Here is a 23,778-nt window from a genome sequence, read left to right as displayed (position 1 = left end):
GTTAGGGTTGTTGTTATGCAGCATTATATGACAATAGCTGACTGATACATTTCCCTTCCTAAAATATATATATTTTTTTCTTGCTATAGCTCCCATAGCCCCAGGGCTGTTTTGAACAAAGTGCTATTCCAGCCAAGCAGCTGTACTTCCAGTAAGGGTCTCTGTACACTGGGCCATCCATGTCTTCTTCCAACCCCTCCTTCCCTGTCTCTCTCTCTCAGCCCAGGAGTAAACCATTTGCATTTGTCAGACCCCTGGGTAATTAGATGACTTCTAGAATATGTGGTTAGGTAACATCTTATGTCCACAGGACTGAATTTCCCACTTACCAAAATGGACTTAATTTCTTCAGGAGTGGCTTTGGTTTGGTTCATGAGCATTTCCTGAGCAATGTCCTTTCTGTTTTCTAGCTTATTCATCTTATCGTAGGTGTCAGTATTTAAAAGAGACCATCCAAGAAATTGTGTGAGAGTCTGAAATGGATAAAAGGTGATTCTAATTCTCTTCAGTGAAAGAAAAATTGGTTTGGAGGCAACAATCTGCACGCTTTTCTATCCATCTCCCTTCCATCATCAACCACCCCATTCCTTCTTTTAATTTAAGAAAAACATACTAATAATCAGCTTCAGACAATAAAACTGGCTGAATTATTGCTTTTTAAAGTGTACCATGCACCATGAATAGAAGAGAGAGGTGTTACCAACACCAGTATAGTCAAGCAGGACCTAAAAATTAGGCAGGGGGCTGGGCGTAAGAATAAGAATAAGAATGAGAGGGAACAGGAAGGAGGAGTGGGAGAAAGAAGAAGAAAATCCTCTTTCCTGTTTTCCGAGTATTATTACAAATTTTGGTTAAGCTAAAATTTTATACTTTGGTAGAAAATGTTGCAGTTTATAGAAGTCAGGAAATAGAAACGACAAAATAACAACATATTGGTTACAGCTATGTGTGACTCATGTCTTAATGGCCCTTCAAAATATCATTCCAGAATAACAAATAATTACGTGCCCTCTCTTATTTTGTGAATTGCATTGACTTCCATTATCTTATTATTGCACTTGCCTCGGTAATGTATTCATCATGCTCATCGAAAGGTTTTCCATCCTTCCTGTTGTAAAATGTAGCCACTCCCACAATATCTTCTTTCTTGTTGACAATAGGCAGGGACAAAACATTCTTAATGACCCAACCAGTTTCGTCTACAGGTCCTTTCTACAAACGAGAAGGGACCTCAAGTTATTTTTTTGCCTTTTTAGTTTGAAATAATCATAAATTCACAGGATATTACAAAAGAAATGTACAGAGAGATTTCAGGTACCCTTCACCCAGTTTCACACAATGGTAATGATGGTTAGACAACTACAGTACATTTTCTACCATCTTGTGTAACTATAGTACAATATCGAAACCAGAAAACAGACATTGTACGATCCAGAGCTGATTTGGATTTTACCAAGATTTGTATGCAGTTACTTTTGCACATATATGTGTGTGTGTACATATAGTTTTATGCAAATTTATCCCTTGTGTAGCTTTTCAACCACCATTAGAATCAAGATACAACACTATTCCATCACTACAAGACTGTCCTGTACTCCTCCCTTCTAGCTACCACCCAACCACCTGTCACTTAGTTTATTTTTAATTTAAAGAAAAAGGCTGGGCACAGTGGCTGGAGCCTGTAATCCCAGCACTTTGGGAGGCAGATCACCTGAGGTCAGGAGCTCGAGACCAGCCTGGTCAACATGGTGAAACCCCATCTCTACTAAAAATACAAAAATTAGCCAGGCGTGATGGTGGGCACCTGTAATCCCAGCTACTTGGGAGGCTGAGGCAGGAGAATTGCTTGAACCCAGGAGGCAGAGGCTGCAGTGAGCCAAGATCGTGCCACTGCACTCCAGCCTGGGCAGCAGAGTGAAATTCCATCTCAAAAAAAAAAAAGAAAGAGTAATCTTTTGGTGTTAGATGTGCAATTCCTACTTTGTGTCAGAACATGGCTAGGACCATACAGCCATTATATGTACTCTAGCACATCCAATAGAGTGAACTAGAACCAAGTGTCTGTTTTCTGACAATTCTAACCTTTTCCCTTTCTTTCCCAAGCCTGAGTGATGGGAAGTGCTTCTTACCACTATGTTACCTCACTGTTCCCTTTACACTTTTTCTATCTTCTAACACCTGTTTAGCTAATTCCTTAAATAAAATTCTCCCGTTAAAATACTAGTGTGGTTTTTGTTTTTCTGACTGATCCATGAAGATAGTCTTTCATTCTGTGGTGTGTTGAGTTGAGTAAACATTTGTCAAGCCTCTGTGGTATGCCAGGAACTGGGGCAGTTGCTGAAGGTACAAAGAATAAATCACAGGTCTTGCCCTCAAGATGCTTAGGGTCTAGTCGAGGGATGCAGGCACAAAAGTTTAGGAGTGTTTCTCAAAGTGTGGTCCAAGGACCATGTGTAACAGATTTGTTTTAGCTTGTTTATTTTTTTTTATTTTTTTTTTTTTTTGAGACAGGGTCTCACTGTGTCACCCAGGCTGGAGTACAACGGCACAATCTTGGCTCACTGCAACCTCTGCCTCCCAGGTTCAAGTGATTCTCCTGCCTCAGCCTCACGAGTAGCTGGGATTACAAGCATGCCCCACCAAGCCTGGCTAATTTTTGTATTTTTAGTAAAGATGAGGTTTTACCATGTTGGCCAGGCTGATCTTGAACTCCTGACCTCAAGTGATCCGCCCGCCTCAGCCTCCCAAACTGCTGGGATTACAGGCGTGAGTCACTATGCCTGGCCTGGGCATGCATCTTCAATAAGCTTCCCAGGTAATTCTGATGCCCTCTGAAGTTTGAGAACCATGATGTAGCATTTGCACAGTATGTAGCTAAGGCAAAGATAGACAAGCACTCAACACACCACATTATTTGTTCTTGAAGACTTCCCTTGGCTTACTTAGTCATCCTTACAGGCCCCTGTTAAGTCTTGGCTCTCCCATGAAGCCTTTCTAATTTTTCTAACTCATAAAGAACTTTTCTGTTTTGGAATTCCAACTGCACTTATAGCCTGAACCACAATTTAACATTTAGACTGAGCATGTAATAAGTGCTCAATCTAAGTAATTTGTTACTACTCTATGTAGTCATTATACATGCAATGAAAAGCAGAGGAACCAAACCTCAACATCCGTCTCCTGATGGTCAAAGCTTTAGAAAAAAGATGCAGTGCATAGTGCTTGCAAAGCCTGCATCTTTGGAAAACAATAAGAAATATTTATGTACTTACACCATCATACGAACCAAGGACAAAATCAGTAATAGAGAATATATCACATGCGTGTGAAAGAACTTCATGCGTATTTGTTAAAGCTTCCAAAATAAGCTTTGCTGACTGCTTCTCAGTGTTTCAGGAAATATTCATTTGCTACCAGTTCATATTCTTGTGCTTTGCCATTAGTTAGACCTTACTGACAGACAAGTTACAGAAGGAACCCAAGGTTTAAGAAAAATTAGTAGGACAAAAAACTGAGGAAATTCTATACACTTTTCCTCCTGTGAATTAGGACCACTTTAATTGACGTTAAAGGAAGACCCCTTAGTCCACTTCGAGGAACCCTATGGCAGGCAGAACAATGGCCCCCAAAGATGTCTATATCCTAATCTCTGGAACCTGTGAATATGTTATCTTACACAACACAGGGGAACTAAGGTTGCAGATAGAATGATGGTTGCTAATTAGCTGGCCTTAAGATGGGGAAATTAGCCTGGATGTTCCAGGTGGACCCAATGTAATTACAAGGATCCTTAAAAGTAGAAGAGAGGTTAGAATCAGAATGGGAGAAGGAGCTATGATGACAAAAGCAAGGTCAGAGTGATGGTGCTGCTGGCTCTGCCAGGGGAAGGGTCACCAGGCAAGGAAGGCGGGAGGCCCTGAGAAGCTGGAAAAGGCAAGGAGATGAATTATCCCCAGAGCCTCCAGAAAGCAAGAGTCCCACCAGCACCGTGATTTTAGCCCAAGAAGACTCATTTTGGAATTCTGACCTCCAGAACTGTGAGATAATACATTTCGTGTGGTTTTAAACCACTCAGTGGCAATTCGTGACAGCAGCAATAGGAAATGAATCCATTATGCCCCCAAGAAACATAGTGTGAGAACCACTGCCTTTGCAGGTTTGCTCTGATGGCAGTTCTTTTTATATCATTGGCTTGTCTATCAAACTTCTCAGGTGCAAAAAGGAATCGTAAGAATCAGGGTGGGGCCTGAGCAGGGAGAGACAGAATCAGAAGACGGAGCACAAAAGGAGGGTGGTGGTTTGGGGAGGGCGGTCACCCGTCCTAGTCCGCTGTGCGGAATGATGCACAGGTGATGCCGTTGAAGAGCGGCGGGGAGGGAGGCTGGGGGTGCTGAGAGAGACATCAGACAGAGATGCAGTCCCGACCCTTTGCAAAGGAGAAACGGAAGGATGGAAGGTTGAGGGGAGCCCCTTAGACCACCGTGCTGTTCTGAAACTGTTTGCAGAGCTGTTAGGCATTCCTAGGGCCCAAGCTGCCTGGCAGGGTATCTGGCTGTCTTCCAGGAGCAGGCCTGCTTTACTGTCCCTGCCACACTTAGTTACCAATTGGGAGTGGCCTGTGGAGCGTGTGGCCTCAGCACAGATGTGACCATGGATTTCAGGCCAGCAGCCATTGCACGGCTACACTTCCCACAGGTGGAGATCTGAGAAGCACATTTTCATGGGCACCACAATGATGTTTCCCAGAGAACTGGGAAATCCCTGTGGCCTGGAGGTTTATCCCACACTGGGGACTCCCCAAGGCCCCGGGGAGGCCCCAGGCCTCCTCTCTGCCCAGGCCATGAGAGCACATCAGAGCAGTAGCTGCAGTGGAGCATGAGAGAAAGCAAAGGGCCTCACATTTCAGAGCAGCCTGCATTCTCCTGGGCCAGCTCCATTCCCACTCCCTGTTTAGACAATGACTGCTTAAGGTTCAGACTCTAGAAAATCATTGTCGCCCTTTTGCTGACATGCATCCTATTCTGACATCCACGTGCCATAAATATAGGGGTCAGGCCTGGGCACAGCATGGTCACAAATAAGCTTCAATTGCAAGGAGGAAGGAGCTAGAGCAGCCATATGGTGTTTACATGTTTTCCATGTCAATCGGCAAAGGGAGGAGCAGGCAGATGCACGTAACGAAGCAAGTGTGTACAGCTTTCCCCAAGGTGTGGTGTGGTTCTGCCGCTAAGGAGGCACGCTGCAGCCTGGGGAAGGCTGGCTTTTCCTAAAAGGCAGAGATGGGGCTCTGTATGTGAGAGAGACAGAAAAACAGACCCCAACGGTACCCACCGGGGAGGGCAGTCTCTATTTGTGACTGAGATCAGGGCTCTAAGGGGATGTTTTTTTAAATACAGGACAGAGAATAACAAGTGCCCAGAGGCAGAAAATAAGAGGCTGTGGAGCCAAATGCCAGTTTATCTCTAACAGTCAGGTTGGGAGGAGGTGACAGGTGGGGAGTGGGTGGCAGAGATGACAGGTGAGGAGGGATGGGCAGGTAGAGAAGGGAGTGGCAGAGATGACAGGTGGGGGGTGACAGTTGGGGAGGGGGTGGTGAAGATGACAGGCTGGCCCTTCTGGTGGGCTGGATGAACTCGGGGGGCGGGGAGGGATCAACTCGGGTCTGCAGCCAGGTTCCAGCAGGAAGCCCTGATGGGGAGAAGTGGGTCAGGTAGAGTAGCACATACAGAAGCTGATTCCTGGGAGCATCTGGCGGTGAGTGGAGGCAGATTCCCCAGGCAGTGGGTCTCTGCACAGTGGAGAAGGAAGGATACAACCGAGTCTAACAGCAGGAGAAGCTCTGAAGACTCAGTCAGAATTGTTGATTTTCCTGAGAACAGTTGCAATAAGCTGCAGGGAAGGGCTGCTGAGAAAACCACCAGGAGAGCAGGATTCAGGATGTAGGAGGTAGCCAGCCATTCATGCATGCAGAGAACGTTTATTGAGCATGAATGCTGTGTCAGGAACTGTTGAGCCCTTAGATCAGGGGTCCCCAATCCCTGGACTATAAACCAGTACTGGCCCATGGCCTGTTAGGAACCAGCAGGTTGTACAGCAGGAGGAGAGCAGTGGGTACTCGGGTGAAACTTCATCTGTATTTACAGTCACTCCCCATTGCTCACATTACCGTCTGAGCTCCACCTCCTGTCAGATCATCAGCAGCATCAGATTCTCATAGGAGTGTGAACCCTCTTGTGAACTGCGCATGTGAGAGATCTGGGTTGTGCCGTCCTTATGAGAATCTAACTAATGCCTGATGATCTGAGGTGGAAGTTTCATCCCAAAACCATCTCCCACCCCACCCTCATTCTGTGGAAAAATTGTCTTCCACAAAACCGGTCCCTGGTGCCAAAAAGGTTGGGGACCACTGCCGTAAATGACCAGGAGTGTGAGCAAATGGAGGAGTGGCAGGTCCCCTCCCTGGCCTTCTGTCTTAACCTTCTTTTCTTCCTTCACTGAAGAATCTGCTACTTGCTGGCCCAGCCAGGGTGAGTGGGAGATGGACCCGTGTGTGCCTGTGGCCACACCTGAGCATCAGGCGGACTCTGGGGGTGGAGGAGAGGCGAGAGCATCCACTCCTCTACCCCAGCCCCAAGAGGTGAGGTCTGACCCAGAGTGCAGTTACCTGAAATGTGAAGTATTCATCCGCAGGGGCATTCATCATGTTACAGATCTGGAAGGCAAGAGGAGACAAATGGTCTGAAATATTGTGTAGTGGAGCCCTCTTGATCCACAAAGCAGAATAAGAAAGAACGCATTGGGAGTGAGGATTTTCTACACGGCTCTTGACTGCTTGCGGGCAAATGGACCTCAACTAGGCCACAGCTGCTAACAACTCATTCAAGATGGCTTCCCTGCTGCTAATTAAATCACTGGAGGATATGTGGTACCGTCTCTGCCCCTTCCCACTCCCCCAGACTCCAGGGAATCCCCTTCAAATTCAAAGCAACAGGCTGCTCAGGCCAAGGGGAGGAGAAAGCTGAGAAATTCTAGCTCTGCTACAGCCAGTATGAGCAGCAGAGCTAGGATTGCTTTTTTTCTTCTTCTTCTTCTTCCTAAAGTGAGATTTGGGTTAGAAGATGATGGTTAAGAGGCAGGAGGAAACAGCCAGATAAGTTTTTAGTTACACCAAAGTAAGGATTCAGTGAGAGATATCACTTTACTTAGTGGAATTCACAGACTATTGCTCACATCTATAAGGACAAGAAATCACTCAACTTTGGGTCATTTTAAGTTTTCTGTACCTTGGGTCATAATCACAAATGGATCTTAATAAAAGACCATGTCTTTCCAAGAGATAATTAAAATCATAGCATTTTATTTGATTTTATTTTTTATATTTTATGAGATGGAGTTTTTGTTCTGTTTCCCAGGCTGGAGTGCAATGGCGCGATCTCAGCTCTCTGCAACCTCCACCTCCTGGGTTCAAACAATTCTCCTGCCTCAGCCTCCCAAGTAGCTGGGATTACAGGCACCCACCACCAAGCCCAACTAATTTTTGTATTTTTAGTAAAGACAAGGTTTCACCATGTTGGCCAGGCTGGTCTCGAACTCTTGACCTCAGGCAATCCACCTGCCTTGGCCTCCCAAAGTGCTACGATTACAGGCGTGAGCCACCACACCCAGCTATCATAGCATTTTAAAGCCAGAAGGGATCTTAGCAATTAAGTTCATACTTAAAAAAAAAAAATGAACAAATGGAAGCCTAAAGAGGTTAAGTGATTTGTTTAAATCTATGGGATGGAACTAGAACTGTGAGCTCCAGAATGGGTGCTGGGGAAATCAGCTCTCCTGGCTGGGAATTGGGGAAATCCTTGGCTTGTATCAGTTGCCAATTTCCATGGTCCCAATTCTCTTGCCATGGGAGATTTCAAGCTGCCAACAGTTTAACAACTTGCTCACAAAAGTCCTAAAAAACTAACAATCTAACAAGATCTAAGTGGGCTCCCTCCTTAAATCCCCACCTCACCAAACTCTGCCTGCCTCTCGGCCCCAAGGTAAGTGCTTTCTGAGAATAATTGAATGAACCATGTCTACTATTTTTGTAGTACTCTTACACAGAAAATGCGAGAATCTTTCAAAGTTTTTATAAGCATATATAGCCTAAGAATTTAAGGAATCTTTCATGCCATGCATTAATTTCATGATCTAACTTGAATAAATTACATCATTTGATGGGCTGAGCACCCTTCAACTGTGTTTTTGAAGAGGCAAAAAGCAGCCTATTCTTTTTTAAACTTTTCATCAGCAATTATCTGTTTTAGTCCTTTCTTTGAAGAACATTATGTTCTAAATGTTATAAGAACATTTACAGGTGGGTCAAGACCTTAGAGGCCCAAGCTTTTAACTCAATATTGAAAAGTTCCACATCCCACACCATCCCCACCCCATCCCCCATATTTATGCTTTAAAAAATTGACTGATGTACTTGAGATAGAATTAAACCCAGTCATTAAATCATAGTCATTGGATTCCAAAGGATATCTGAAATGTGTGTGGCTGCAGAATAAGAAATTGAGGGATGGAGGAACCTTTCTCATGCTGACTAAATATTTCTGTGTAGAGTTCAGAAGTCTCCAGTTAACCTACATTTGACTGTCAAGATTCTTCTCTCCTTTGTCCTATGCCAAAGGAAGTGATCATCTAGCTTTTTTTTTTTTTTTTTTTTTTTTGTGGAGTTTCACTTTGTTGCCCAGGCTGGAGTGCAATGGCGCGATCTTGGCTCACTGCAATCTCCACCTCCTGGGTTCAAGCAATTCTTTTGCCTCAGCCTCCCAAGTAGCTGGCATTACAGGCATGTGCCACCACGCCCAGCTAATTTTGTATTTTTAGTAGAGACGGGGTTTCACCATGTTGGTCAGGCTGGTCTCGAACTCCTGACCTCAGATGATTCGCCCGCCTCAGCCTCCCAAAGTGCTGGGATTACAGGCATGAGCCACCGCGCCCGGCCCATCTAGCTTTTATTGGATGCATTCTTGCTTTCACAATTGTATCTATCTCTTAGCTAATAAGAGTTTCTTGCAATATTATTTAAAATTTGAATTTGTTCAATAACTTACAAATCCATTTTCAGCAACATATGTTGGCAACCCACTAATGAGTGTCCAGTGGTCTGCAGGAGGCGTCCTTGGGGAAGAGAAGAAAAAAAATCATTGCAATATAGAGAAATGCAATATGTGCAAAAATACAACGGCAACTGCGGCAGCAACTTCCTGCCAATACTCACGGAATCACTTTGATCTCTTCTTTTCCATGTAAAATGTAATCAATGATTTTATAAAAGTTGACTTCCTAAGAAAGAAAGAGGATATTATGGGAATAATGTTATTTCCCAAAGAAATCATTTTTCATTGGGGAACTTGTACTTTAAAACTCTTACAAATAGAACCTTATTTCCCAACCACATTATATTATAACATAAATTATCAAACTACTTATATCCTGACTACAAACTTATAATAAAACCAGAAATATTATTGGCTGTTTATCTACATGCACAGGCTAAAATAAATTTTGTTTTTAAAAAGTTGAATTGCCCCCAAACAGCTTTTGGGGTGGGGGGGATCTTTGGCTACCAAATCATCAGAGAGTCTGTTTTTATTTTCAAGTGATCCCTTTTGTTGTCCAGAAATACCTGACATTAATAACTTCACTAGAACAAATCATGTAATTTCTTAACTGTAGTCAGTTTTACATTATATATAGTGACCCGTACCCTCCTTTCATCAGTGACTTATCTGAACAGGTGCCTCAGAAACAGGAGGTTTCACTGCCAAAGCTGAAAGGGACTAGAGAATTATTCTCTCTGTTTCATGGGGCAGATGATGAATCTGAGGCCTGGACACAATCCATCCCCTTCTCTTTCCTGTGTGCTATGGACACAGGGGTTTCTGCCTTCATGAAGCTTGCAGTCAAGGGGGAAAGTAAACCTAACCCAACCCTTCCTTAGAGATTCTAATCCCACATATCTGAAGAAGGGCCCAGGTACTTCTTTAAAATGTTGTGCAGGTGGCTCTGATGCATCCCTTCCAGTTGAGAACCACTGGTCTACCAAGCCCTGGCTTTATAGAAAAGGAAACGGAGAGGTTCAACAAGGAGTTAAGGCAGGGGCCAATCAGCTCTAGCTTGGGGCATAGCTGGGACTAGAACCTCAAACTCCTTGTCTAGTGCTGTTTCTACTACTCCAGGTCTTCCCAGGCCAGTGCTCTATGCACTGTGGCCTCTTAATTTTAGCACCTGACACCATGCACAGATGGCATCAAGGAAGACATTTGCACGTACCCTGCCATCAGGTGTCTTTGGACCTTTATAAGGCTCTACTTCTCCAAGCTTGATTGGCCATTCATCGTAGAATTCCTGGAGGCAATCAGATTTAAGTATCATTAAACACACTGTTCCATGACCTACCATATCTTATATGAATTTTATGTGTTTGTATATTTTATGTTAATCTACGTAATTCTGGAATTTTAGTGCTGAAAGATCTACAATTCCCAGCAATACTGGTTAGGAATTTTTGACTGTTAACATGTTACTTAACCTTTTACATCTGTAAAATAGGGATAACAATAGAATTTGTACTAAAGAATTGTTGTGAGGATTAAATGAATAATACATATGTAACATCTACCCTGGCACATAGTTCAAAATACTCAATGTATAGCAATTCTTTCATAGACAATTAAGCTAAATCTGGTAAAAGGCTTGGCCAAGGTCACACAGAGTGGCAAAATGTTGGTTGCTTTACCCAACATTCATTCTCTGTCTTTTCCTTGCTAGCATAACCTGATGCGATTTGAGTATCAGGTGGTAATTTTCCATCAGACCACAGCCCATGAGTGGTCTACATGAGGTGCCTAGATCAGTTTAAGGGCAGGTATGTGGCCCAGATCTGGACATTGAAGAAGGGGGAGAAGTCTGCTGAGGGACTACTGGCAAAAGGTATTCCTCAGATAAAAGCTGATGAGAGTGACATTTGGAGAAAATGCCTCCCAGTTGTGTCATGCCTATGTGCCAATGATTTGAGCTGCAACAGCCATCTTTCCACCATAAGAGGAGGCCTCACCAGCACGCTGCAGGTAGCAGAGACCTTGCCAGGAAGAAAGAGAAAGCACCTGGACTTTAATGACTGCACTGATCTCTGAATCAACCAGTACTAGCGCTGCCCTACCTTGTTAAGTAGGAGAATAAATATCATATTGTTAGAGATGCTTTTAGCTGTGTCTGATGTTTCTTATAGCCAAAAGAATCCTAACCAACATACTCAGCTACAAAGTCCCAGAACCAAGATCAGAACCCAGCTCTCCTAGTGCTTCATCCTATGTTTATCCACTTAGAACAATTACTCTGAAAAAATAACTTCCAATCACATGAATATGAAGAAATATAAATAAGGCCAGGTGCGGTGGCTCATGCCTGTAATCCCAGCACTTTGAGAGGCCAAGGCGAGCGGATCACTTGAGGACAGGAGTTCGAGACCAGTCTGGCCAACGTGGCGAAATCCTGTCTCTACTAAAATACCGAAAATCAGTGGACGTGGTGGTACAGGCCTATAATCCCAGCTACTGAGGCATGAGAATCGCTTGAACCTGGGAGGCTGAGGTTGCAGTGAGCCAAGATCATGCCACTGCACTCCAGCCTGGTGACAGACCAAGACAGAGTCTCAAAAAAAGGAAAGAAAACAAAAGAAAAAATATATAAATAATATGGTATCGTTAGTTATTTTGAACTAGAAGGGTAGCAACAGAATTAAAGAAGATGACACAAGGGCATTATATTGTGAATAATATTACATGTTTCAATATTTCTACTTTAATTAAATTTTTTTAGAATACAAAAACCTAAAGTTGGTAAAGATAATATTGATTATCCACCTACTGTGTAAATTCTAGACACTATGTACATATAGTGTTTATATATATAAAAAAATATATAAAATCTCTAATTCTCACAATTGATAAGAGAGATGTCCTCATTTTACAGATGAAGAAGCCAAGAATCAGGTAGGTTAAAAGACTTGCTGACAAGAAGAACAAAATCAAAAAGCTGACACTACCTGACTTAAGATTTGCCATGAAGCTGCAATAATCAAGACAGTGTGGTATTAGTGAAAGAATGGACAAATGAATCAATGAAACAAAATAGAGAACCCAGAAATAGACCCTTACAAATATAGTTAACTTGGACAAAGGCGCAAAGGCAATGAACAAAGGATAGTCTTTTCAACAAATTTTGTTGGAACAACTGAACATCTACATGTAAAAAAAGTGAATCTAGAAACAGAACTTGTACCTTTCACAAAAAATAACTCAAAATGGATTATACACCTAAATGTAAAACACAAAAGTATAAAAATTCTAGGAGATGACATAGAAGATCTAGGTGAACTTGGGTTTGATGAGGCTTCATAGATACAGCACCAAAAGCACAATCCATGAAAGAAAAAATATAGAAAAATTGGACTTCATTAAAATTAAAACCTTCTGCTCTGCAGCAGACACTGTTAAGAGAATGAAAAGATAAGCCACAGACTGGGAGAAAGTATTTGCAAATCACATATTTGGTAAAGGACTTGGACCCATAATATACAAATAACTCTTACAATTGAATGATAAGAAAACAACATAAAAAAATGTGGGCAAAAAATCTGAGCAGCTATCTCTCTAAGAAGATATACAGATGGCAAGTAAACATATGAGAAGATGCTCAACATCATATGTCATTGGGGAACTGAAAATTAAAACAACAATGAGATACCACAACTGATACCCCAAATACTAACATCAGCAACTGCTAATACCCAAAATACTGACATTAACAACTGCTGGTGAGAAAGTGCATCTGGTAGACATGCAAAACAGTAAAGTCACTTTGGAAGACAGTCTGCCAGTTTCTTACAAAGATCAATTTGTCTTACAGTATAATCCAGCAATTGCCCTATTCGGTATTTACCCAATTGAGTTGAAAACATGTAGACACACATAAACCTACCTACAATGGTTATAGCAGCTTTATTCACAATCACTAAATATTAGAAGCAACCAAGATACCCTTCAACAGGTGAATGGATACACAAACCTGCCATACAGTGGAATATTATTCAGTGATAAAAAGAAATTAGCTATTGAGTCATGAAAAGACATGGAGGAAACTTAAATGCATATTTCAAAGTGAAAAGCCAGTCTGAAAAGCTACATACTGTATGATTCCAACTATATGGCATTCTGGAAAAGGCAAAAACTATAGAAACAGCAAAAAAAAAAAAACAACAAAAAAAAAAACAAAAAAAAAACCTGTGGCTACCAGGAGTTTGGAAGGGGTGAGGAAAGGTTGAATATGTGAAGCACAGAGGGCTTTGAGGCACTGAAAGTAGTCTGTCTGATACTGTAGTAGCAGATATATGACATTACACATTTGTCAAAACCCAGAGAACTGCACAAAGGATGAACCCTCATGTAAACTATGGACTTTAGTTAATAATAATATATCAATATTGATTCATCACACCACACTAATGCAAGATATTAATAACAGGGAAACTGGGAGAGGAGATTGGGAGGGAAGAGGAAACTCCGTACTTTATAATCAATTTTTCTGTCAATACTACTCTAAAAATAGTCTATTAATTAATGTAAAAAAAAAACAGACTTGCTGAAAACCCATATTACTAGGAAGTGGAAAAACCAAGATTCAAGCCTACATCTTTTTTGCTCCAAGACACACACTTTTACCTCTGTTCTTGTCATCAATCATGACTAATTATTTACATAGTGTATCTGTTTTTTAAGGATCACATTTCCTGTGGTGTGTGTTATATAGGCGATGTGAGATGAGACAAAATGTGTAGAATAATAAGAACCTTCTCCTTGGTCATGTCCAGCAGTCCAATGGAGTATCGTTCACAGTTCAGATATGATCTAACCGTGTAGAGCGCTTTGTGAAACTGTCGCTCAACATCTGTGAGTTCTTCAAATACTTTATTGGCTGACCACATAAGGATCTGAAAGTAGGTATCAAAAAGAAAACAGTTAGAATAAAGTATGCTATGGAGAGATAGAGCATTCACCACAAGAAAACATGAGGTGCATCAAATAAAATAAATGCATATCATTGGAAAGTGCAATTCTGATTTTGAACATGTGTACATCCAACAAACTACTCAGATCCTCTAGGTGAGATGATGAGTAGACTTTTGCAAGGCTGCGGGTCTATGGAGAGAGAGAAGCTATGATTGGTTCCTGTGTCTAGATGTTTTGGCTCCAAAGGGGAAGTGCCCTGAAATGGGATGCAGGGATGGTCCCTGGACGGAGAATCCAGTATCGGTGGCCCACTGGCTCCTGCTGGCCCTGATGTGGAGAGAGCCACATACCTCCTTCCATGCATCCTGAGATAGTCAGAGGTAACCTTACCTGGAGAGTTCAAACGGGAAGGGACCTCCCTCTCAACCTCTACTCGTGCATTGTACTGGTGAGGAAACTGAGGTCCAGAGAGTGGGCCAGACCTAGGTATCTTAGGTACTAATAGTGCCCTTTATCCCTCTGTCTCATGGAGTTAGGAATAATATGCTCCTCAAATTAATAGGTTTACTATGACCCAGGAATTTCTACAAACTTTATTTGAGAGCTAATCGCTAATAGTCACAACAACCATCTGAAGTAGGTACCATTATTGTCATCACCATCTCATAGACAGAAATGCCAAGTCCACTCGGGATCTAGACTGAAGAAAGCCAAGCCAGTTGTGTACACAATTGGAGAGCTTGGGGTGCAGGGGAGTGTGTGTGGGGAGAGTGGCGGGAAGATCATGAGAGGACACGTGGGACTGAAGTTTGGGGATCTGTTCCACGTGGCTTACACCCCCAGGAGGAATAGGAGGGGTCTGAATTTGTTGTCTCTGGGCGGCTTTGTCAGAATAGGTCAGCATGGAATGACTAATGCTGCCTTCCTTTTACCTGGCTTCTTCGGGATTCAATATTGTACATGTAGCTGGTGTGATGAAGCCTTAGGATGATAGACACAAAGTTGAGGTATTTGGAAAAGACCTACAGACGGCAGAGAATAACAAGTTATGGTTGTGACATCTTTTCTTTGGTTATACAACAAATAAATTTCCTGAGCCTCCAACCAGATGCCCAGGGTTAGCATTACCTCTTCATCCTGTTTGGAAAATTCAGATGCATTTACTTTGTTAACTGCCATGATCACAGCAAGAACCTCCTTGCCCACCACGATCGGGGTTGCCAGCAGGTTCTTAGTGACATACCCAGTTTGCTTGTCCATGAAGTCAGAAAAATGGCTGTTCTGAAAGAGACAGTCACATATTTGTCAAAGTGGCACAAAATCATAGAGTGGTAGATCTAGGGATGATGACAGATCATTCTCTCTCATTTAAATGCTACCAACAGATAACCAGGGCTCCAGTACAGTGGTCCCCAGTAAACAATCCCACTCCACCTGCCATCCTATGACTGCATAGAATGGAATTGCCCATTTCAGAATAAGCGCTGCCAACCTGAGCTATGGCCTATTTAGGTTAGGCTGAGGTTGGGCCAGAAGAAAAGAGGTGATCAGACAGCCAAGTGGAAAGTGAGGTGCTAAGAGGAAGAGAGGGGAAGGCACAAGGTTACAATAGACAGCAAGTACATGCAGGGAAGGAGAGCACAGCTAGGAATACAGACACAGTTCATAGAGCGCTTCTCTCTCATTACAAAGGGAAAACATGCACTTGAAATCATCAACCCATATGTCATAACATAAAGCAAAAATTATCATTGCCCCCAGTTCCTTCCAATCTAGCCTACTAGAAGAAATCCGTGCTAACTGCTGGTGTGTCTCCTATGCCTTTCTCCATGCTTGAACAAAGAGTTTTCTATTTTTTCTAAAATTTCCTTTTCTAATTGCTTATAATAGTTTCATCACTTAACAATGTCTTAGGGACTTCCCTGAAGACCAATGCATATGGATGTGAACTCACCTCTTAGATTTGTGCACACTACTCCACCCTGGGTGCTTTATGATCCACTCAACTGTCCTTTACTGATTTTGCCTGTGTATAGTTTTCCCCACTACCAACAATACTGCACTAATCCTTCTTGCTTTTATTTTTATGTGACAGATTCCCAAAAAAGGAAATCCCTTTTGCTGGATCCACAGGAACATACAGTTTTTCTTTACATAGATTACTTTGATGAAAGGTTCACATTCTGAGGCTGGGCGGGGTGGTTCATGCCTGTAATCCCAGCACTTTGGGAGGCCAAGGCAGGCGGATCACCTGAGGTTAGGAGTTCGAGACCAGCCTGGCCAACATGATGAAACCCTGTCTCTACTAAAATACAAAAACTAGCCAAGCGTGGTGGCACGCCCCTGTAATCTCCGCTACTCAGGAGGCTGAGGCAGGGGAGTCGCTTGAACCCGGGAGACAGAGGTTGCAGTAAGCCAAGATCGCGCCATTGTACTCCAGCCTGGGCAACAAGAGCAAAACTCTATCTCAAAAAAAAGAAAAAGAAAAAGAAAGGTTCACATTCTAACTTCCACTGACCCTGTGTGAAAGGACCAAGGACTACCCTCTTGCCAGCATCAGATGCTTATCAGGTTTTTAATGTTCTACCAGGCTTATGTCTTCCATTCCTATTTTTTTTTCTTTCTCTGGGAGAGAGGAAAGTGGATCTTCCCAGATTCAGACCTCATAGAGTAGATTCGAGAGATAATTCTAATCCACTGGCCATAGCAGAGGCTGAGTAATGAGTCTGGAGAAGCGCACAAATGGAAGGGCTTGAGAAAAAGGTCAAGGAAGGCAATTATCTTATTAGTTATCATTTCAGAGAATAGCCACTCACGGTGGGTTTAGACCCAGCCTTCCTTGGGTCATGACATTCTTCCCTTTGAACCTAGGACTTCTTCAATTAGAACTGAACTTCAGCCTTAACTCTGAGACTCGTTGGCCAAAATTAGTGCGGTATTCCTTCCACAGTTGTATTATTTTCATTTCCCTGTGTTGGCAGTGCTTCTAAAAGCAGCACAAACCTTGCAGACTGGATTCTGTCTGGTTTCCCGTAGAAAAAAATGTGAGAATTTTCTGGGTGTGTCATTTCCAGGCCAGAGTTTCCACCAGGGAACAAGGGCTGGTTGGCCAATAGAACTCACAGAGCTCAAATGAGATTAGCAGTCCTGAGATATGCCTCAGAATCACCTGCAGATTAATGCAGCAGATGCACTGAATCCTAATCTCCTACAGTGGAACCTGCACTTTTACGTGGCCCAGGTAATTCTTAGGCTCAACCCAATGGGGAATCACTCCTGCAGAGGATCACCAGAAATGGTACCGCTCTCAGAGGAAATATGTGATGTAAAGGGGATAAAGGCAGCCCCTCACTCCAGATCTCTTCTATACCTTTCCCAAAGTGGAAACACACAAACCAACTCTTGAGGCATCAGCATTGCATAAAGGCAAGGAAGGTATTGGAGTCAGACTTTCTTGGCTGAAACTGGGCCCCAGTGTACTAGCTGTATGGTCCTGGGCGTGTTACTTACCTTCTGTGTCCTCGTTTTGTAATCTGAAAATAGGGGTAATGCTTCCATCTACTGCCTAGAATTCCTGATGTGAAGATAGAATAACATAGTATAGGCTGAGCACTTAGAAAAAAAAAGAGTGTCTGGCACATAGTATTCAGTAAGTACTAGGAAGAGAAACTTAGTACTTTTCTAGGCTTTCCTGAATGAGAAGTAGTTCTTTTGCAATTACCATTTTGCTTCTAGTTTTAATTTTTCTAGCCAATTCAAATCACTGAAGAAATCAGATGCCCATAGCTGGATGTAGGCCTCCCATACCGCGGAGCACCCTTCCTCCAGAAGGCCAGCACACTCCCTCACTCATGCCACCAAGAACCACATTTCTTTTCTATCCATTTTATCTGTTACCTCTCTCTGGTTCCCCATAGCATCTTCACCCTCAGACCAAAGTGTCTGCAGTTTTTGTTAGATTCTTTCTCTTAATCCACTGCTTGTCTAGGCCAGCTCCCATTGTTTCCCTTCCACCCTGTTATCCATGCAGATCACATCACCTTCATTTACACAGCCTGGGCACTAAAGGAATCATCGAAATACCAGAAATGTGCACCATGGGGTGAAGTTAGCCAGGACTTCTTTCTTTCTTTTTTTTGAGACAGAGTTTTGCTCTCGTTGCCCAGGCTAGAGTGCAATGGCGTGATCTCTGATCACTGCAGGCTTCACCTTTCAGGTTCAAGTGATTCTCCTGCCTCAGCCTCCTAAGTAGCTGGGATTACAGACACCTGCCACCACACCTGGCTAATTTTTGTATTTTTAGTAGGGACAGGTTTTCACTGTGTTGGCCAGGCTGGTCACAAACTCCTGACCTCAGGTGATCTGCCCACCTCAGCTTCCCAAAGTGCTGAGATTACAGGTGTAAGCCACCATGCTTAGCTGGCAGCACTTCTTTGCAAACACATTTCACTCTGCAGCTTCAAACTTAATGCCATTTTATTCCAGATTCTAAACACAAGGAAATGTTAAGTTCAATGGACTGTTTTGAGAAAATGGCTTGTAAGTTTCAAAATTTGATACTTGCTTATTATTGCATCTGAAAGCCCTAGATAAACCAGCCATTAAGTTACAGGATGGGGATGGGGGAGGGGTTTTTGTGTTTTATTTTCACTAGCTCAAAAAATCCTTAGCGAAGTTTCTTTGCATAAATCCTGCGTGTGTCCCTTGATGGTTCTTCAGAGAAGCCCTTGAAGGCAGCTGGAGAACATTGTTTAGAGCAACAGGAGGCCTGATCCCTCATCAGATGTCAGTATTGCTAAATCCTGATTAAACACCCTTAACCCCTGAGATCCAAAGCAGAAGTAGAGGAGGAAAGGAAGAGAGAGGAAGGAGGACTTTTAAACCACAGTCAGAATCAGGATCACCCATAGTTTATGGACAGCTTTCCGAATAGAGAAAAAAACAACTTAAAGAGGATATCTCTCAGTTTCCTGTTCTTAAAAGTCTTCCTCTCAGCACTTTGGGAGGCCTATGTGGGCAGATCACGAGGTCAGAAGTTCAAGACGAGCCTGGCCAACATGGTGAAACCCTGTCTCTACTAAAAATACAAAAATTAGCTGGGCATGGTGGTGCATGCCTGTAATCCCAGCTACTGGGGAGGCTGAGGCAGGAGAATGGCTCTAACTTGGGAGGCAGAGGTTGCAGTGAGCCGAGATCAAGCCATTGCACTCCAGCCTTGTGACAGAGCGAGACTCCGTCTCAAAAAAAAAAAAAAAAAAAAGTCTTCCTGCCTTCAACTTGTTTTAAAACAGGCAATAATCATTGACCATTTTTTGGCCAACCATATCCAGCTCCTAAACGCCTACTGGCATAATGACAATATTATCACAGCTATCATTTATTGAGCATCTACTATGAGTCAGGTCCTTTATATACATTTAATCTGTACATTTGCTTATCTCCATTTCTTAGGGGTAGAAACTCCATCACACAGTTACTACGTCACAGACATGGATCTTCACCCAGGTCTGTCTGATGCCACAGCCCTCTCCCTATACTAGTGGCTTCCCTGTTACCTTCATGGACCCTCCAAGGTTGGGAGTATGTAGTTCTGTACCTTTGTCTAGGTGTGAGAAGTCTTTCCCTCACCTGCGCCCACACTGCTAGCCAGAGGAAAGTTGTGTGTGGTCAGGGATATGGTAGAAAGAGGGAGGCCTCCAAGACCTGAGTTATTGCCCCAGATCTGCCACTTCCTGTCTACCTAACTTTGAACGATTCCTACTACACAGGCTGGAAATAAAAATATGACCCTTGTCAGAGAATGTTGTTTAAATTGTCAAGTGCAATGAAAAGAGGAAGAATTAATCAGATATTTCATTTGAAACATTGGTTTCTACTTCCTTTCCCGTTGCAAATCTTACTGCAGCGGCTAAAGCAAGTGAAACTGCAGGGGTGTAAGGTAGGCAAACAGCACTGGACACATACTCAGCCACCTCCGTTCCAACCCTCCTCATCCACAGACACACACCATGGACCCGGGGGATATACAACTCCTATGGCCTCAACTTCCTGTCCTCCATAGGACAGAGTTGGGCTAAAGACTTCATAAGCCCCTTCCATCTCTAATATTCCACAGCTGATTTGAAATTCACTTCCTCCTCCTGTATCTGCTTACCCAAGAGACCAGTGGTTTTCAACATTGGCTGCATATTAGAAGTAGCTGGGGGAGCTTTTTAAAAATACCAATGCCTGGGCCGGGCGCAGTGGCTCACGCCTGTAATCCCAGCACTTTGAAAGTCCGAGACAGGTGGATCACCTGAGGTCAGGAGTTCAGTACCAGCCTGGCCAACATGGTGAAACCCCGTTTCTACTAAAAATACAAAAATTAGCCAGGCATAGTGGCGCACCTCTGTAGTCCCAGCTACTCAGGATGCTGAGGCAGGATAATTGCTTGAACCCGGGAGGCAGAGGTTGCAGTGAGCCAAGATAGCGCCATCGCACTCCAGCCTGGGTGATGGAGCAAGACTGTCTCAAAAATAAATAAATAATAAAATAAAAATACTAATGCCTGAATTCTAATCTTTGAGAGTCCGCTGTAACAATAAAGCCACCAATATGGTTTTGTGGATTGTGTTTATTTTTTGAGACAGGGTTTCATTCTGTCACCCAGGCTGGAGTGCAGTGTGTGAACACAGCTCACTGCAGCCTTGGCCTCCCAGACTCAGGCCATCCTCCCATCTCAACCTTCCAAGTAGCTGGGACTCCAGGCACACACCACCATGCCTGGCTTATTTTTGTATTTTTGGTAGAGACGGGGGTTTCCCATGTTGGCCAGCCTGGTCTCGAACTCCTGGGCTTAAGCCATCCACCCGCCGTGGCCTCCCAAAATGCTGGGATTACAGGCGTGAGCCACTGCACACAGCTTAATATGGTTTTAATGTACAGCCAGAGTTGGAATCCCCACTCTAGAGAGAAAAAAATGTGAAGAAGCAGTTGAAATGAAGAACCAATGAGGTCTCTTTCTCGTGAGCACAGAACCGTATCTGTCTTCAACACACATTTCTCTGTGTCCCACCCAGAACAGCCAGGAGTCCTCCAGAGAAGAGAGGAGAGACTCCCCACTCCCAGATGAAGTGCTCCGTCCATGCCGTGATGCTCACCATGGACAGCCGCAGACCAAAACCACCTCCAAGCAGCTCCATGCTCTTATTTCCTTCTCACCACAGAGAACTGGGCTAATCAAAGTATAACAGCAGAAATCATTTTACCCATCTCTTCTTTAAAAGCCTTTCAAAAAATTGCTGAATGTCACTTTTTCAAGTTTGATGTGCTAGCAGGGATGGGCTCAGTTGGGGACCCTCAAGGAGCGTATTCCCATGAGAAAAACCTCAGGATGTGCAGACATTGCCTTCCAGTTGGTTGTCTAGAGAACTTTGCCCTAAGGATGAGCATCCATTTAGACACTTGAAGCAGCTGCAGTCAGGCTCAAAAGCAAACTTAACCCAGCTTAAACTTACTGAAAGGAGGAATTATTCAGGACTGAAGCCCTACCAGGCCCCATGGTAACCCTTGCACCTGAGCGGTGTTCTGTGGTTGTTTGCAGAGAGTCACTCGTGTTTGATGACTTCCACACCTCTTGGGTCCGTGTGACCCTCCCCCTATAATCAGCTTCAGGAGGCATTTAGGAGATTATCCTCCTGCCTCTCCAGCTGCCCTATACACCCCTGCACAGAAAGCATTTCACAAGTTGTTCCCATTCAACTCTGTTCCATCATAATCCACTTTTCCCTTTTTGTTAATGGTAAACTGTAATAATGGACCACATGTGTAGAGAAGGAGCTGCCAGGAGAATCTCCAAGCTGGTACCCTTGATTATTGCTGAGGGGAGGGATGATGGGTGATTAGCATTTCCTCCTCTGGTTTATTTGTATCTTATAATTGTTTAAAAATGAACATGTACTCTAATGGTAAGAATAAAGTTTTTCTATTTCTATAAGGGGCATCTCAATGCCTTGTATTTGTGCAGTATGCTGTTGGTCTTCAAGAGGGTCCAAATGTCCCACTTACTTGATTGGAATTCATTCTTGAAAGATCTGGGTTATGGAGCAGTGGGAGTGGTCAATTGCACTTAACCATCACCTAAATTCACATATGTAATGAATTCCAAATTTGAACATCTGAACTTTCAAATGGCATCATTTTTTCTCTTTGCACATTTGGTCGATAGATGAAAGAATTGATTTACTAGCAAATCCATCCAAAAAACCTGAATGTTTTCGAAGGACTGTGAATGAGAGGCATGGGGAGCAGTTCACAAGTCTTGGCATCTGGGCACGTTGGCCCATCTCCCTAGTGGGGTAGTTTGTTTTGCTGGTGTTGCTGAGAAGGAAAGTCCCCCAGAGCACTGGAGGAGGCGTAAGGGAGGGTGTGTGGAATGCACCAGGGCCAGGTAGGATCACCTGATAAAATGCCAAACTTTACATGGGACATACTTATACTTCAGAAAATAATAATTCATTGTTTATCTGAAATTCAAGTTCAACTGGGCAACTTGAAATTTCATTTGCTAAATTTGGCAACACTAGGCCTGGGTGATCCTCTTCCCTGCCACCCACATTCCCCCGGTTATTGCCAAACTAATGCCACAAGGATAGCACTATCTCTCTTTCCCATTTGTTCCTCCCTGACCCTGCCAAGACCTCTGCCCCACTGTCATAAGGCCACCTACCTTTTTCACATCTGGGACATTATGAGTTTTCTTCGTGTGAGCAGCCCAACCCACTATCCCAATGTCCAATGGAAACACAACTTCTTTGTCAGGGCCCACCAGGTTGTCCTCAAACTTGGAGGTGGGGGTGACATCCAGCAACCTAGAGGCCACCTCAGGTATGCCGTTCCGGGACCGGCACAGGAACATGCTGCAGCGGTCAGCCTGGAGCAGGTGGGCCAGCCTCTGCAGGGCCCTGTGAACCCCCTGCTCTGGGGTGCCCCCCTCCTCCTGCACGGTCCACAGCAGCTCCAAGCACAGGGCTGACTCCTCCACCTGGGTCAGCTCAGAGAAGGACATGCTGGACTGGACTGGCACCTGGCTGTTCTTGAAGATTTCTCCCAGCACCTCCACCCGCAACTTCCTGTCAAAGTACTCCTTGGCAAACTGAGGGTTCTCCTCCAGGTATTTCTCCACGGCAACTTGGTTGATCTCACCCATGGTGTGGCTTGCTTTGCTGCGTTTGTTCAGAAAGGACGACCTTCAGAGCACTACCTGAGGCAGAGTGATGAGAAGGAAATTCATCCTGGTGGAAATTACTGAGGAAACCGTAAATGGTCCCTCATAGGACTTCCAAAGGTCAAGCAGAAAGCAGAGCTTTCAAACTGCCTGTAACTCTTGGGATGTGACAGAAGGCCCTGGCTTAGGGTGGGATTCAGGAAGCACAGGATTAAAGAGTTCTTCAGGACACTAAATCCCTGAGCATTAGTAGCTCATAAGTCCCTAGCGAATCTTCAGAGTATCTTAGATCAGCCCAGCAAGTAGCAAGCTGAGGTGTCTATTCCAGAAAAATAACTGAATGTCGGCTGCTGTCCACAGCAAGGAAGAATCACTGACATATCCATGAATGACACGACATTGGCAACAATTGGCACTTTGAATCGTTCTTGTATGATAGCTATAGGAAGTAAAACTATTTAGACCTCGGAAGTGCTTGGATTTTTTTTGTTTATATAGCAACTGTAATGAACATCT

The 23,778-nt window shown here is 43.6% G+C and overlaps 1 protein-coding gene across 1 annotated transcript in view; it reads right to left on the bottom strand.

Moving 5' to 3' along the window:
* The window catches only part of PDE6C (phosphodiesterase 6C), a 53,474-nt gene extending 30,041 nt beyond the window's left edge, over positions 1–23,433 (bottom strand). The window contains exons 1-10 of the mRNA NM_006204.4: positions 22,765–23,433; positions 15,186–15,338; positions 14,990–15,079; positions 13,898–14,038; positions 10,321–10,395; positions 9,266–9,330; positions 9,099–9,165; positions 6,665–6,712; positions 1,063–1,212; positions 330–473 (exon numbers count right to left, since the gene is read on the bottom strand). Of these exons, the coding sequence (NP_006195.3) occupies positions 330–473; positions 1,063–1,212; positions 6,665–6,712; positions 9,099–9,165; positions 9,266–9,330; positions 10,321–10,395; positions 13,898–14,038; positions 14,990–15,079; positions 15,186–15,338; positions 22,765–23,244 (1,413 nt within the window). The 5' untranslated portion in view covers positions 23,245–23,433. The remainder of the gene's footprint in view (positions 1–329; positions 474–1,062; positions 1,213–6,664; positions 6,713–9,098; positions 9,166–9,265; positions 9,331–10,320; positions 10,396–13,897; positions 14,039–14,989; positions 15,080–15,185; positions 15,339–22,764) is intronic.

The sequence above is a fragment of the Homo sapiens genome, chromosome 10 (assembly GCF_000001405.40).
Source record: "Homo sapiens chromosome 10, GRCh38.p14 Primary Assembly".
In the NCBI taxonomy this organism is placed as follows: Eukaryota; Metazoa; Chordata; class Mammalia; order Primates; family Hominidae; genus Homo; species Homo sapiens.
The sequence above is the reverse complement of the archived record's forward strand: the minus strand, read 5'-3'. Positions and strand labels throughout refer to the sequence as shown.